General features: G+C 43.7%; 1 protein-coding gene across 11 annotated transcripts in view, besides 4 other annotated features; it reads right to left on the reverse strand.

Moving 5' to 3' along the window:
- Positions 1-14321, reverse strand: part of FMNL3 (formin like 3) — a 70907-nt gene that overhangs the window by 48959 nt on the left and 7627 nt on the right. The gene's annotated exons all lie outside the window — the stretch shown is intronic.
- Positions 11511-12012: an enhancer, noted in NCBI's record as "H3K4me1 hESC enhancer chr12:50090751-50091252 (GRCh37/hg19 assembly coordinates)". NCBI's record gives its function as "activates a minimal SCP1, AML or CMV promoter by ChIP-STARR-seq in naive H9 embryonic stem cells {active_cell/tissue: H9 hESC(naive)}" and the evidence as "EXISTENCE:reporter gene assay evidence [ECO:0000049][PMID:30033119]".
- Positions 13641-13740: an enhancer, noted in NCBI's record as "active region_6324". NCBI's record gives its function as "activates an Ori minimal core promoter by ATAC-STARR-seq in GM12878 lymphoblastoid cells {active_cell/tissue: GM12878}" and the evidence as "EXISTENCE:reporter gene assay evidence [ECO:0000049][PMID:35858748]".
- Positions 13761-13820: an enhancer, noted in NCBI's record as "active region_6325". NCBI's record gives its function as "activates an Ori minimal core promoter by ATAC-STARR-seq in GM12878 lymphoblastoid cells {active_cell/tissue: GM12878}" and the evidence as "EXISTENCE:reporter gene assay evidence [ECO:0000049][PMID:35858748]".
- Positions 14061-14110: an enhancer, noted in NCBI's record as "active region_6326". NCBI's record gives its function as "activates an Ori minimal core promoter by ATAC-STARR-seq in GM12878 lymphoblastoid cells {active_cell/tissue: GM12878}" and the evidence as "EXISTENCE:reporter gene assay evidence [ECO:0000049][PMID:35858748]".

The raw sequence follows: 14321 nt of genomic DNA on the forward strand, positions 1-14321 counted from the left end.
TCTCAAAATAATAATAATAATAATGTCCCTCCATGGCTACACAAGAGACAAAATGTGCTAAAGGGCAGGCCAACAAAAGCCAAGAATTACCCCAGTACCTGGAGGTCCCTAAAGCCTGTGGAAAGGTCATGACTAGGCCAACATTATTGAGTATAAAAGAAAGGTGACTAGTACGTGCTGTTCAGTGACTTTACAACTTCAAGGTACAGAAAAACAGTCTCTACCCTTCAACAATAATTCTTATTTCTTAAATATTTTTGTTAGGCTCCTCAATACCAGATCTCTGATTCAAGAAGTTAATGGCCTTCAAATAATATTTCTATTTAAGGCTGGGTGCGGTGGCTCACAACTGTAATCCCAGCACTTTGGGAGGCCAAGGCAGGGGGATCACTTGAGGTCAGGAATTTAAGACCAGCGTGGCCAACACGGTGAAACCCCGTCTCTACTAAAAATACAAAAATTAGCCAGGCTTGGTGGCGGGCGCCTGTAATCCCAGCTACTCGGGAGGCTGAGGCACGAGAATCACTTGAACCTGGGAGGCAGAGGTTGCAGTGAGCTGAGATTGTGCCACTGTACTCCACCCTGGGCGACAGAGCGAGACTCGGTCTCAAAAATAAATAAATAAAAATTCTATTTAAAATGTTTTGGTTTTTGGAAGGGGAGGGTTTGAGACAGGGTCTCACTTTGTCACCCAGGCTGGAGTGCAGTGGCATGATCATAGCGTACTGCAGCCTCAATCTCCCAGGCCCAAGCAATCCTTCTGCCTCAGCCTCCCAAAGTGCTGGGATTACAGGCATGAGCCACTGTGTCCAGCCTTCTACTTAAAATGTACTGAGCATCCTGGCTGGACGTGGTGGCTCACACCTGTAATCCCAGCACTTTGGGAGGCCGACGCAGGCGGATCACGAGGTTAGGAGACCAATACCATCCTAGCTAACACAGTGAAACCCTGTCTCTACTAAAAATACAAAAAAATTAGGCGTGGTGGCGGGCGCCTGTAGTCCCAGCTACTTGGGAGGCTGAGGCAGGAGAATGGCATGAACTCGGGAGGCGGAGCTTGCAGTGAGCAGAGATTCCGCCACTGCACTCCAGCCTGGGCGACAGAGCGAGACTTCATCTCCAAAAAAAAAAAAAAAAAAAAAAGTATTGAGCACCTTTATGTCAGTCACTGAGCCCCAAAACTCTTAAAAAAGGCTTGGCTGAGCATCCATCCCTACACTCCTTGCAGCTGCTTCCCAGACCAGACTTCATATTTCTCTTCAAGACCAGAACACACAGAGTGACTTCAGGAAATCTTGAGAGAATCAGACTTGAGAAGCCTAGGAAAGACAAGTATCTATTTACAGTTAATCAGCACCCTACCCGGCCCTGCAGACAGTTCTGACAACTGGAGCCAGGAAGAATCAACCACAGGCTCTGACTGGGGCCCACCTGAGGCTAGGAGCCAGTTGGACCCCCAGATGAGTACTGACTCTGATCCCCACCCAGACTGGCTGCACTGCCATAGGGAGCCCCTTCCTCGGAGACACACTCAGGCACTGGGATCCAAAGTTCATGGAAAGTTTCACTTTCTCTTATAGCTCAACCCCCAAAACTGCCTGATAATCTTATCATCTTATCTAAATATCTTCCCCATTCCTTTTTTTTTTTTTTTTGAGACGGAGTCTCATTCTGTCTCCAGGCTGGAGTGCAGTGGCGCGATCTCGGCTCACTGCACCCTCCGCCTCCTGGGTTCAAGTGATTCTGCTGCCTCAGCCTCCCAAGTAGCTGGGACTACAGGTGCCCGCCACCACGCCCGGCTAATTTTTGTATTTTTAGTAGAGACAAGGTTTCACCATGTTGGCCAGGATGGTCTTGATCTCTTGACCTCGTGATCTGCCCACCTTTACCTCCCAAAGTGCTGGGATTACAGGCATGAGCCACCGCGCCTGGCCCCTCTCTCTTATTTTTTAAGAGACGGGGTTGTCCAGGCTGGACTCAACCTCCGAAAGTCAGGGGATCCTCCTGCCTCAGCCTCCCATGCAGCTGGGACTACAGGCACATGCCACCACACCTGGCTATAACCCCCAATGACCATCTATCTCTTTATCTTACCTTCTTTTTCTTCATGGTACTTCTTGCTACTTAACACTATATTATATACCTGTAGATTTGTTTATTGTTCTCCCCAACAACAATGTGAATGCTATGAGACTGGCTTGTCTTTTTTGTTCACTGTGGTATCACTGATGTCTAAAATACAGAGTAAACACTCAATAAATAGTTGTTGAATGAATAAACGAGTGATCATGCAAAGATTTTTAAACTCTGCTTCCATCCTAGTGGGGCTACATGAGAAGCAAGACTGAATAATGCCTACTTTCCAGAAAGCCCTATAAACCTGTTGCTGAACCCTAACATTCCCTCCAAATATCTCCCTAAAGTCCTCCACATCTCACTCCCAGGCCCACAAACCCTAACCCACCCCAGAGCAAGTATTAAAGACAGAAAATGGAACAGCACCCAGGGAGGAGACACATTTTTCCTCCAGTTAAGTACAGTCCAGAACCTCTGCAAATTAAAAGCTCCCTCTTCACTGAATCCACTCAGCTATAGTTATAGGTCACACTTTTTATTTTTATAACCAGCCAACCCATCAAATTATAGGCTCAGGCCACTGGGAGGCACGCCAAACACTGGGGCCAGCCTAGCCTAGCAGAGGCACTGCCCCTTCTGGCCTGAGAGGGGGTACAGGAGTGAGGACTGAGCACCAGTCAAACCTGAAAGGGCAGAAGCCACCATCACCCTGCAGGGGACAGTCTAGCGAGAAGCCTGGATCTCACTCAGGCCAAACTGCTGCCCATAAGGGAGACAGATTCCAGGATTCTCCACACAGCAGACAAGAGAACTCTTAACCTTATAAAGCATACCTAGAAGTTTCCCTACAATTAATTTCCAAACTCCTTACCAAGGCCAACAAGGTCCCACATAATCTGGGCCCTGCTCACCTTTCCTATACCTTCTCGGACTCTCCTCAGCATCCTTGTAGACCAGTCTGGCCTTCTTGCAGTTCCTCAAATGTGCAAAGTTCTTTTCCACCCCAGGGCTTTGCAAAAGTTGTTCTCTTCCTAGAAAACTCATCCCCCAGATCTTTATATATAGCTATGATGATGGCTTGTGGTAAGTGGGTCTGCAAGAATGAACCAAAGAAACTGCTAAGAAGTCCATTACAACAGACCAGGCAAGAGCTGAAGATCAACTACAGTAGTGGTAGTACAGATAGAAAGGTGAGAGGGACAGCAGCCCAGACTAACTCCAAGTGCTTGGCCTGGATAATTAGCTGGAAGAGTGCCATTCCCCCCAAAATACAATGTATAAGAAAACACTAGCAGGTATAAAGTGGCTCACAAACATTGGACACTGTTACTATGAAATGAGATATATTTATTGAGCATCTACTATGAACAAGGCATTGTTAATAATAAAAATTATTTAGTACAAGACAACATTTTACCCTAAAGAAAGGCAAAAATGGGCTGGGCATGGTGGCTCATGCCTGTAATCTCAGCACTTTGGGAGGCTAAGGTGCAAGGATCACTTGAGCCCAGGAATTCAAGGCTGCAGTGAGCTATGATCACACTACTGCACTCCAGCCTGGGCAAGAAAGAAAGATCCTAACTCAAAAAATAATTTTTTTTAAAGGAAAGCAAGACAGATTTGGCAATGGAAAGAATTAGTTCAAAACTTGCTGACTAGAAATGGAAGCTTCTACATTTGAAGACTTCTGCAGTTCAAGGGTAACACATGGGATCATTTTCTATCCAGTTTCACTTAAATCAAATTATTCTGATTCTCTAACCTATGAGGATTGAGCATTTATCTCTCATATATATCAATCATTCAACTTTAAATGAGAAAACTCATGAATGGCCAGAGACCAGTTACCAACTATTCTCTATTCCCTGTTGAAACCCTGGGCAGGAAAGTCCCTTTTCTAACAATCAAGAAATGTTCAGGCTAGGCACGATGGCTCATGTCTACAATGCCAGCACTTTGAGAAGCTGAGGTGGGCAGATATGGCTTGAGCCCAGGAGTTCAAGACCAGCTTGGGCAACACAGCAAGATACCATCTCTACAAAAAAGTAAGAAGCACAACTGTAGTCCCAGCTACTAAGGAGGCTGAAATGGAGGACGGCTTGAGCCTAGGAGTTGGAGGCTACAGTAAGCCATGATCACACTATTGCACTTCAACCTGGGTGACAGAGCAAGCCCATTTCAAAAAAATAAGAAATGTTCAGACAAAACTCAGTGTGTACTGGCCATCTGTCCTGATCCAAGCTCACATCTGTCTATAACTAAACTCCTCTATTCCAGCAGCAGGGCTCCTGGCTGCCCCTCATATAGCTGCTTCATTCCTCCTCCTTAATTCCCTCCCATACAGCTCTGGCCTGGAACAATCTCCTCTCTCCTGATCTACAGCTGATTAAAGACCTGACTAAATCCCCTGTCCTCCTTAAAGCACTGCCTATTTAGCACTCCTATACCACACTGATCCTCCCCTAGCTCTCCAATCTTTCTGTGTTTATAGCTGTGTGGCACCCTATCACCTCATGATCTCACTTGGTCTTCACAAAAGCATGTGATTGGGCAAGACAAACAGTATTCCCACATTACAGATAAAATACAGCACAGAGTCTCACAGACAACCTGAGGACATGCACTTGCTTTAATTCTCTAGTTCAAAATATAGTTTTAAGTACATACACATTTTGTCTCTCCAACTCAGATAGCAAGCATTATCTTCTATTTATTTTGTATACCCCCAAGTACAAGGGAAAGTGCTGTGTATACAGCAGGCACCTATGACGTATTAACTTAATAAATCATGAAAGAAAAGAAAATGGAATGAACATTTAGAATAGACCCAAGACTTCCCAACCTAAAGCCTTCTTTGTTACACTCTCTCTTAACAACCTGTTCTTTGCCTTCCAAGAATATATCATAATTAAATATTTATTTAATATCTGTATTTTCCTCTAAACTCTATGAGGGCAAAGGAATTCTTAGATTTTTCACCACTATATACCTAGTGATATCAAGAGCACGTAGTAAATTTAAAACAAAAAACAAGAAAACAAAACTTCTCGAATAGCAGATGTCCTAGTAGGATAGCTAAGATCCAAACCCAAATCTGGCTGACTCTAAAGCCCAAATCTTTCCACCACACCTCTTAGCAAAGGAGAACTTGTTCGGTAAACTTTCCCCTATATTCTGCCACAATCCACTCAATCCACTCCAAAGCAGTAGTAAGAGCAAAGGAGAGTCAACCCCGCAAAAAGGAAACTATAGTTAAGAAAGTGGAGCTGGGCGCAGTGCCAGCACTTTGGGAGGCCAAGGCAGGAGTGCGAGACCAGCCTGGGTAACATGGTGAAACCTTGTCTCTACAAAAAATACAAGAATTAGCCAGGCGTGGTGGTGCACCTGTGGTCCCAGCTACCTGGGAGGGTGAGGTGGGAGGATCACTTGAGCCCAGGAGGCTGAGGCTACAGTGAGCCAAGATTGCGCCACTGCACTCCAGCCTGTGTGACAGTAAGACCCTGTCTGAAAAGCAACAACAAAAAAAACTGGGCTTTGGCATCAGGCTGCTTGGACTCAAATCCCAACTTTGCCACCTACTAGTGTGTGATCCTAGGTGAGCTATTTAACCTACCTGGACCTCAGTTTCCTCTTCTATAAAATGGAGATAACAAGTACTTCACAGAGTTGTGATGATTAAATGAGATAATGTGTGTAAAGTGTTTTGCATGGTGCCTGGTATACCATTATCACACAATAAATGTTAGCTATTAAAATTATTAGCTATCCTTATTCCTAGAAGGCAAGAACCTAGAGAAAATGATTGTCACGGTGGTCACAGCTGCTGAACCGACTTGACTTTGAGAAGCTGAGATGCAGCACAGCCTAGAGCTCAGGTTTATTCTCTTTGTGGACTTCTAGGGCTATGGCTGTGCCAAGGCTGGAGATGCAGCTTTCACTGGCCTGGAAATGACAGAGACTAAAAATACATAGCCTGCCTGTATCTGGGGGACCAGGATCATGCCTACATTAAATAATTTAAAATACAGCTTCAGCGCAAAAGAGCATCTCTTAGGATTCTTTTTACTGTGGAAACAGTGCCAAGCTCAGCACAGGGCACAGGGCAGTGGCCAGTTGCTGACCCCACTGGTGCCCTTTCTCTCTCTCGCACTTTTCTTTTGGCTTAGTGCGAAAAGTAAGAGAGGAGCCTTTTTTTTCCCCCCATTAAAAGTTGGGTCTGGCCAGGTGCGGTGGCTCACGCCTATAATCCCAGCACTTTGGTAGGCCAAGACGGGTGGATCATTTGAGGTCAGTAGTTTGAGACCAGCCTGGCCAACATGGTGAAACCCCCATCTCTACTAAAAATACAAAAATTAGCTGGGCGTGGTCTTGCACGTCTGTAGTCCTAGCTACTCGGAAGGCTGAGGCAGGAGAATTGTTTGAACCCGGGAGGTGGAGGTTGCAGTGAACCAAGATCACGCCACTGCACTCCAGCCTGGCTGACGTAGCAAGACTCCATCTCAAAAAAAAAAAAAAAAAAAAAAAAAAAGTTGGGTCTGGCTGGGCACAGTGGTTCATGCCTGTAATCTCAACACTTTCAGAGGCCAAGGCAGGCAGATTGCTTGAGCCCATGAGTTCAAGAACAGCCTGGGCAACATAGCAAGACCCTGTCTATTCAAAAAATACAAAAATTAGCCAGGCATGGTGGTGCACGCCTGTAGTCCCAGCTACTTGGGAGGACTGATTGAGCCTGAGAAGTTGAGACTGTGATCACACTACTGCACTCTGAGCTAGGCAAAAGAGACCTTGTCTCCAAAAAAAAAAACTTCAGTCTACCCCCTCCCTACCCAATTTTTATTCCTCCTTTTCTCTTAAAGGAGGAATACACAAGTAGATAATGTAAAAGAAAAAAATTCAACCAACTCAAAGCTTATAGAATAAAAAATCAGTCACTATTCAGCCCTCAACCCCACTCAATCCCCTCCACAGTTCACCACAGTTAATAGGTTGGTGTTTATTTTTCTAGGCCTTTTTTCTATGTATTTATATACAACCATATATGGTTTTTATAAAGCATTATATATACAGTCTTCTAATTGCCTTTTTAGATTATATTTACACGTACATATATATCTTGGAGATTCCCATTTGCCACAGCCATTTATTGAGTGCCTACCCTGTGCCAGGTATTTGGCTGTACAGTGATAAGCAAACATAATGTCCCCACCCTCACTGAATCAACAATCTGGGAGATGCATAATAAACAAGTAATCAAATAATTGTACAAGGGAAAAAGAATGAATAGGATGCTAACTAAGAAAAAGAATAGTAAGTGGGGAAGATCTGAGAGGTGGCATTTTTAAAAATTGAGACCTAAAGTATAAACTAGAAAGAGTCGTTTTAACATCCAGGCAAAGGGTATCCCAGGAGAGGAAACAGCTTATGCAAAGATCCTGAGATAGAAAGGAGCTTGTCCTGAACGAAAGAGGGCTAATGTGGAACTTCGTAAACAGGAGGGCAATAAGGTTAAAAAGGTCAGCAGGTGTCAAATGATGCAATCTTAAGGGTCCATTGTCAGGAGTTTGCATTTTTCCTTTTAGTATAATACAAAGGGAAGCCATTAAAGGTTTTTAGGCCAGGGAATGATGCTATTTAATTTATATTTTAAATTTGGGTGCTTTGTGGAGAATGGGTGGGAAGATGGAGATAGGGATAAGAGAGGAAAATGGAAAGCCAGATGGTTGGCTGCAATACAAGCAAGAGCTGATCTTGACTTAGACCAGGGCGGTGGCAGTAGAGAAAAGGGACAGGCAGATTACATATACATATAGAGAGAGACAGTTTTTGTGTTTGTTTGTTTTTTCACTTTTTGTTGTTTTTTTTTTGAGATAGTCTCGCTCTGTCACCCAGGCTGGAGTACAGTGGTGCCATCTTGGCTCACTGCAGCCTCTACCTCCCAGGTTCAAGTGATTCTCGTGCCTCAGCCTCTCCAGTAGCTGGGACTATAAGCACGCACCACTACACCCAGCTAATTTTTTAGCAGAAACAGTTTTGTCATGTTGGCCAGGCTGGTCTTGAACTCCTGGGCTGAAGTGATCCACCCGCCTCAGCCTCCCAATCTTGGTTTTTTTTTTTTTTTTTTTTTTTTTTTTTGAGACAGAGTTTCGCTCTTGTTGCCCAGGCTGGAGTGCAATGGTGCAATCTCGGCTCACTGCAACCTCTGCCTCCTGGGTTCAAGCAATTCTCCTGCATCGGCCTCCTGACTAGCTGGGATTACAGGCACGCACCACCACACCTGGCTAATTTTGTATTTTTAGTAGAGGCGGGGTTTCTCTATGTTGGTCAGGCTGGTCTCAAACTCCCGACCTCAGGTGATCTGCCCATTTCGGCCTCCTCAAGTGCTGGGATTACAGGCATGAGCCACCAACAATCTTATTTTTTTTAAAGACAGGGTCTCATTCAGAGGCCCGGACCGGAGTGCAGTGGCACAATCACGGCTCACTGCAACCTCAAACTCTTGGGCTCAGGTAATCCTCAGGGATTGGACTACAGGCACATGCTACCACACCCAGCTAATTTTTATTTTTGTAGAGACAGGGGTCTCACTATGTTGCCCAGGCTAGTCTCGAACTCCTGGCCTCAAGTGATCCTCCAGCTTCAGCCTCCCAAAGTGCTGGAATTACAGGCATGAGCCACCACGCCCAGCCTATTTTTGGAGATGAAATCAGCAAGACTTACTCATACAGTGGGTATGGAGAAAGGACAAGAAAAAATTAAAAATAACTCCCAGGATTTGCCCTGAGTAGATGAATGGGAGAGCAGTAAATTTAAGCAAGGAGTGGACAATCAGGCTCTTCCCCATTCCTTTTTTTACGTTAAACAATGTAGCCCCGATTATTCCTTACATGCACCTTCCGTCACATGTGTAAACTGTTCTGCAGAATGGTTTCCTAAAGGTGAGGTGGGGGAGTTAGAGAACACGCACATTTTAAATGGATAAACCCTGTAAAATGCCTTCCAAAATGTCTGTACCGAATTACTCTGCCATTAATATTGACCACGGACATAGTCAGTCTTCAAAATTTCACCCAGATAATTAGTATAATAAGTATATCAGGACGAGTGCGGTGGCTCACGCCTGCTATCTCAGCACTTTGGGAGGCCGAGGCAGGTGGATCACGAGGTCAGGAGTTCCAGGACCAGCCTGGCCAAGATGGTGAAACCCCGCCTCTACTAAAAACTACCAAAAATTAGCCGGGTATAGTGGCAGGCACCTGTAATCCCAGCTACTCAGGAGGCTGAGGCAGGAGAATTGCTTGAACCCAGGCAGCAGAGGTTGCAGAGAGCCGAGATTGCGCCACTGCACTCCAGCCTGGGCAACAAGAGCGAAACTCCGTCTCAAAAAAAAAAAGTATATCCTCTAAATTTTCATCTCCTTGATTTCTAGTGAAGTTAAAAAACTTTTTCTATTATTTAACTTTTAATTACATAACTAATACATAAATGAATTATCCTTGTAAAAAAAAAAAAGTAAACATTATAGCTAGGCATGGTGGTACACTCCTGCAGTCCCAGCTACTCCAAAGGATGAGGTGGGAGGGCCCAAGAGTTCGACTCCAGTTTAGGGAACAAAACATTGTCTCTAAAAAATATATAAATAAAAATTTCAGATGTAAACATTATAGATAAAGCTAAATTCCTCTTGAATCTGTTCTTCCCATCATGGTTCCTCCCCTAACCCTGAATCCCAGAGGTAACTAACTAGTGTTATCGGTTTTATTTGTACCCTTACAGATACTTTTTTATTAATTTAAAATCTATATATAAAAAATAAAAGATTAAGCATCTTTTAGAAGTTGTTTTTCCAACAGTCCTTTTAGCATGAATAAAAAATCTAACCAAAAATAGTTTCCTTAAGGCCTAAGTTAGTGACATTTAAGCTGAGACCATCCCCGCTTAGTTAACCCCTCTGAGCCCTAGCTTCATATTGCCTGTAAAAAAACACTGCAGTGAAATACTGCCTCATAGAGTTGTTGTTAAGTTAAATGAGATAAAACATGTCAAAGTACGCGGCATACATCCAACAAATGTTAACTGTCTTTCCTTAACCTTTACAAGTTAAATCCAGGCAGTCGGTAAGGACCAGACACTGAGCCATTCCTAAAAGGATGAGATGAGGGACTCTACTCAGAAAAAAACAGAGTGTTGTCTTAAAGATTTTTTTTCATAAGTCCCCCAAAAGATGTAAATTTTCCTACAAAAATTCTGTTATGAAATATCCGAGCAGTCAAAAAAGGTACAGGTCATTTTTTTTTTTTGTAAGGTAGAAGAGAGGATTTAAGCATTGCTAGAGAAACAAACGTTCCATCCATCCTTCTCCCAGGCAGATGCTGGGAAGCTCACTACCCAGATATTCCCCCAAGGACCTCAGGCCTGCAGGAAAGAGTTGCTGCTTTAGGCAGGTAGTACCTCCAAACACAGGATATTATCTAACCTTTGGCCGTCACTGCAAGAGGCCACTGGGTTCCTGGGATTTGTGAAAATATAGCTGTCTCTTGGTATTTGAAGGGGATTGGTTCTAGGACCTCTCTAGAATACCAAAATCCCCAGATGCTCAAGTCTCTGATATAAAATTATATAGTAATTGCATACAACCTACACACATCCTCCTGTATACTTTAAATCACCTCTAAACTGTTTATAATACATAATACAATTAAGTGCTATGTAAATACAGTTGTCCCTCAGTATATGTGGGGAATTGGTTCCAGGACCAGACCAAATGGCTCCAAGCCTGGTCCTGGAACCAAAACCTGAGCATACTCAAACTCCACAGGCCCCATGGAACCCATGTGTATGAAAAAGTCTGCCCTCCTTGTAAGGTTTTCAATTCTTACTACTCAATTCTCGTTTGATTGAAAAATCTGCGTATAAGCTCACCCACACAATTCAAGGCCTTGTTGTTTAAGACTCACCTACAGTTGTTATACTGTTTTGTTTACAGAATAATTACAAGGAAAAAAACGCTACATGATCAGTACATGCACAATTTTTTCAAATATTTTATATCTGAAGTTGGTTGAATCCACAGATACAGAACCCACAGATAAGGAGGGCCAGCTGTACATCCTATTATCTCCACCTGGATCTTCCCAAAGGTTGAGGGCTAGGGCCCTAGTTCAAAGAGGTAGACCCCATCACAAAGGATCCTTAATCAAAGTTAAACTGTCCAGGGGCCTGAATATCTTCCTCTGAATGGGAATCACCCAAGTTTCAACAAGCTCTTTTTGTTGGAACCACTAACAGCAGCATTATTTTATCTGAACCAATAACCAGGGCTCCTTCTTACCAAGGATCAAGAGTACTAAAACTGTATCAAGGAGTTCCTGCAGTAGAGTTTCCTCACCCAGCTATCACTTCCCATTCCTCCAGGCTGGCAGCCAGGGCTTCCTCAGCAAATCCAAAAATGGTCTTTAAAACTCCCAAAATACTACATGTGTTCATACATAGATGGGAGGGGGAGAGGGGAAATAGGGACCACAGGTTTAACTGGATTTCCAAAGGAATCTGTTACCCAAAAGATTGAGAACTACTGTTGACAGATCTCTCAAACATATTCCCAACTTATAAAAACTTTTACTCTGGCTTGAGTAACTGACCAGGGGGTGAGTGTAGTATGTACATCCCAAACTGCCACTTGATGAGTTTTAGGGTAGAGCCCACAGTACAGAGGAATCAGGTATTAAACCAACAGGCAGAGGTAATAAAAAGAGGTCCACCTCTTTCCTAAAGGTGTGCTAGGAAATGGGAAAACCAAGAAAGCACCACACACCATGGCTCTGTCTTCCCTTTTACTGCTCTTGAAGCTTCATCCTCAATTGGTACACAGGACAAAGGAGGTACAGATAAGTGGAAGGCAAATCTCAGTAGGGGTGCCAATCACATTTTGGGCAGGATCCTTCTTCATTGTGTGGGACTCACCAAAACATGACCCAAACACAGAGGGATGTTTAACAGCCTTGGCTCTCAGCTAGAAAGCCTAGCACTCCCAGTCAGTATGATAATCAAAACATCCTCAAGTGCTTCCAAAAACTCCCTCCTGGGACAATACCTCCCTCAGTTGAAAGCTACTTTAAATTATGGAATTCTGAGACGAGATAAAGTGGGTAATGTATATACAATAAATATTTATTTTTAGCACCTTTATAGGTTACAAAGTGTTTTCACTATGTTGTCTCCTGTAAGCATCCTCAAAAACCTGTAGGATAGGTATTATCCTCACACGTGTCATAAAGGATGAAATTGACTCAGAAAAGTTACAGGATTTGCCTAAAGTCGTGCAGCTGAAAAAAAAAAAGACTATAAAGCTGGATCAGAACCTAAGTCTTCTGATTCCAAAACCAATGGTCTACTGCTTCCTCCCAGAACAAAATTTTTTTTAAGATTTCATGGGAAACACTAGGAGGATCTATTGACTGGCTCCCCAGCTTCTGTGTAAAAACAAGAACAGAAACTGCTCTAAGCTATAGGTAGTTTTTAAAACCAAATATCCATCTCCTAAAGTACCCAACGACCAGGCTCATGTCAACTTTCTTAGAGAGGCACCGTACAATTAAAAGAGGATTATGATATTCTCCATTCTGAATTTGAGTAGAAATGAGCAAACAGGGGAGAAACAAAGTACGTATCTTCCCTGTTGGTGTGTATAAGGGACCCAGAGGTAAGATCACCAGCCCCAACTCCAGTTTTGGCCATAACTCTGGGTGAGGGGGGATAAGGTGGTAAAAGAGATGGACGTGGGGGATAAGGATAAGAATTAAACCATCACTAATATACAAGAGCCTAAACTTGTCCTCTACTGGCAAAATCTGCCATGTAAATAATTCTGCTAGCCCCTCGTGGTTCTGGACATTATTGAGAACACCTTTCAAGGACCTAAAAATACTTTATAAACTAAGAAGAGTATGCATAATAGTAAAGCTGCAGGAGGGGAGATACTGCTCCCCACCCCCAAAAAAAAAAAACACCCTATCCATGTCCTCCCCTACCCAACACACAAACCCCAACCCACAACTTTGTTGTGAGGTGATGGAAGACAGAAAGCGTAAGAGAACCTGGAAAGAGGAAGATTCTAAAAGAGGAAAAGAGAAGTAGAGAGGAAAGTGGGAGGCAAAGACAACAAGAGTATCTCCAGGACACAGAGGGAGCTTGACATTTCTACACCTTTCCTGGGGGACTGACTCACTCTCCATGTGAAAGGAAAACAAGATACAAAGACATAACTTTGCCCAGAGAGGCAAAAGAGAGAGACTGGAAATGGAATGCAGGAATTCTAGCTGCCCAGCTCAGTTCTATTCTGGAATCCACTTCACTTCTCTATGAATGACAATCTTAAATCCCTGAAGTTCTCACCTGCTGCTATTCAGAAGTACCCAGCAAGAAGCAGGAGAGGAGGAGCCTGTGTGCTGACAGGACCGTCCCCTCCTCTATCTTCAAAGAAAAAGGTCCTCCCCTTCTTTAAAGTCATTTCCGAACCGCGATGAACCCCTAGCCTTTCCCTGGCTCTGCTATTGCTCAGCTCAGACGTGGGAGAAATGTTTCCCCAGAATGGAAGAGACTGGTCTGGAGACGTGGGAGAAATGTTTCCCCAGAATGGAAGTGACTGGTCTGGCAGACCAGATGACACGCTGACTTCAGGCAGCCAACACTGCTGTCCCATGGGCTTACTACAGTCACTTCTGGGGCACATACTTTGGTGTTGACCACAGAACCAGGACCCCGGCTCTGCCCAGCCTCCCCAAGCAACCTCAGGGGCAGGGGAGGATCTGTGGTCTCATTTCCTCTCCACTTTGGCTTCTTTTTTCACTTCACTGAAGATTAGTTATTTCCACCAAGACCAGTTCCTGTTCTCACCAGCTGTAGCAGTTGTTTCCCCACAGACAGAATTAGGAAGCACTGGTGTGGCTGCCACCTGGACTGTCCCAGCTGCAGAACACAGACCCAATGAGTCCTGAGAAAGGGCTTTTTCATCCCAGATAAAGTAGCAGGAAGAAAGTAACGGGCAGGAAGCAATTCCAAGAACTCCACAGTGGATACAATGGCATCCATTTTATTATTTTAACCTTACATAACAGTTACATATGCTTTTATACGTGAAAAATATTTTATAATGAAAAACTATACGAAATGTATACATTTATTACATAGACATATGTATATAATAAATCCCCAACAGAGAGCAAAGAACGCAAATAAAAGATGGCCAA

The sequence above is a fragment of the Homo sapiens genome, chromosome 12, assembly GCF_000001405.40.
Source record: "Homo sapiens chromosome 12, GRCh38.p14 Primary Assembly".
NCBI classification, from domain to species: domain Eukaryota; kingdom Metazoa; phylum Chordata; class Mammalia; order Primates; family Hominidae; genus Homo; species Homo sapiens.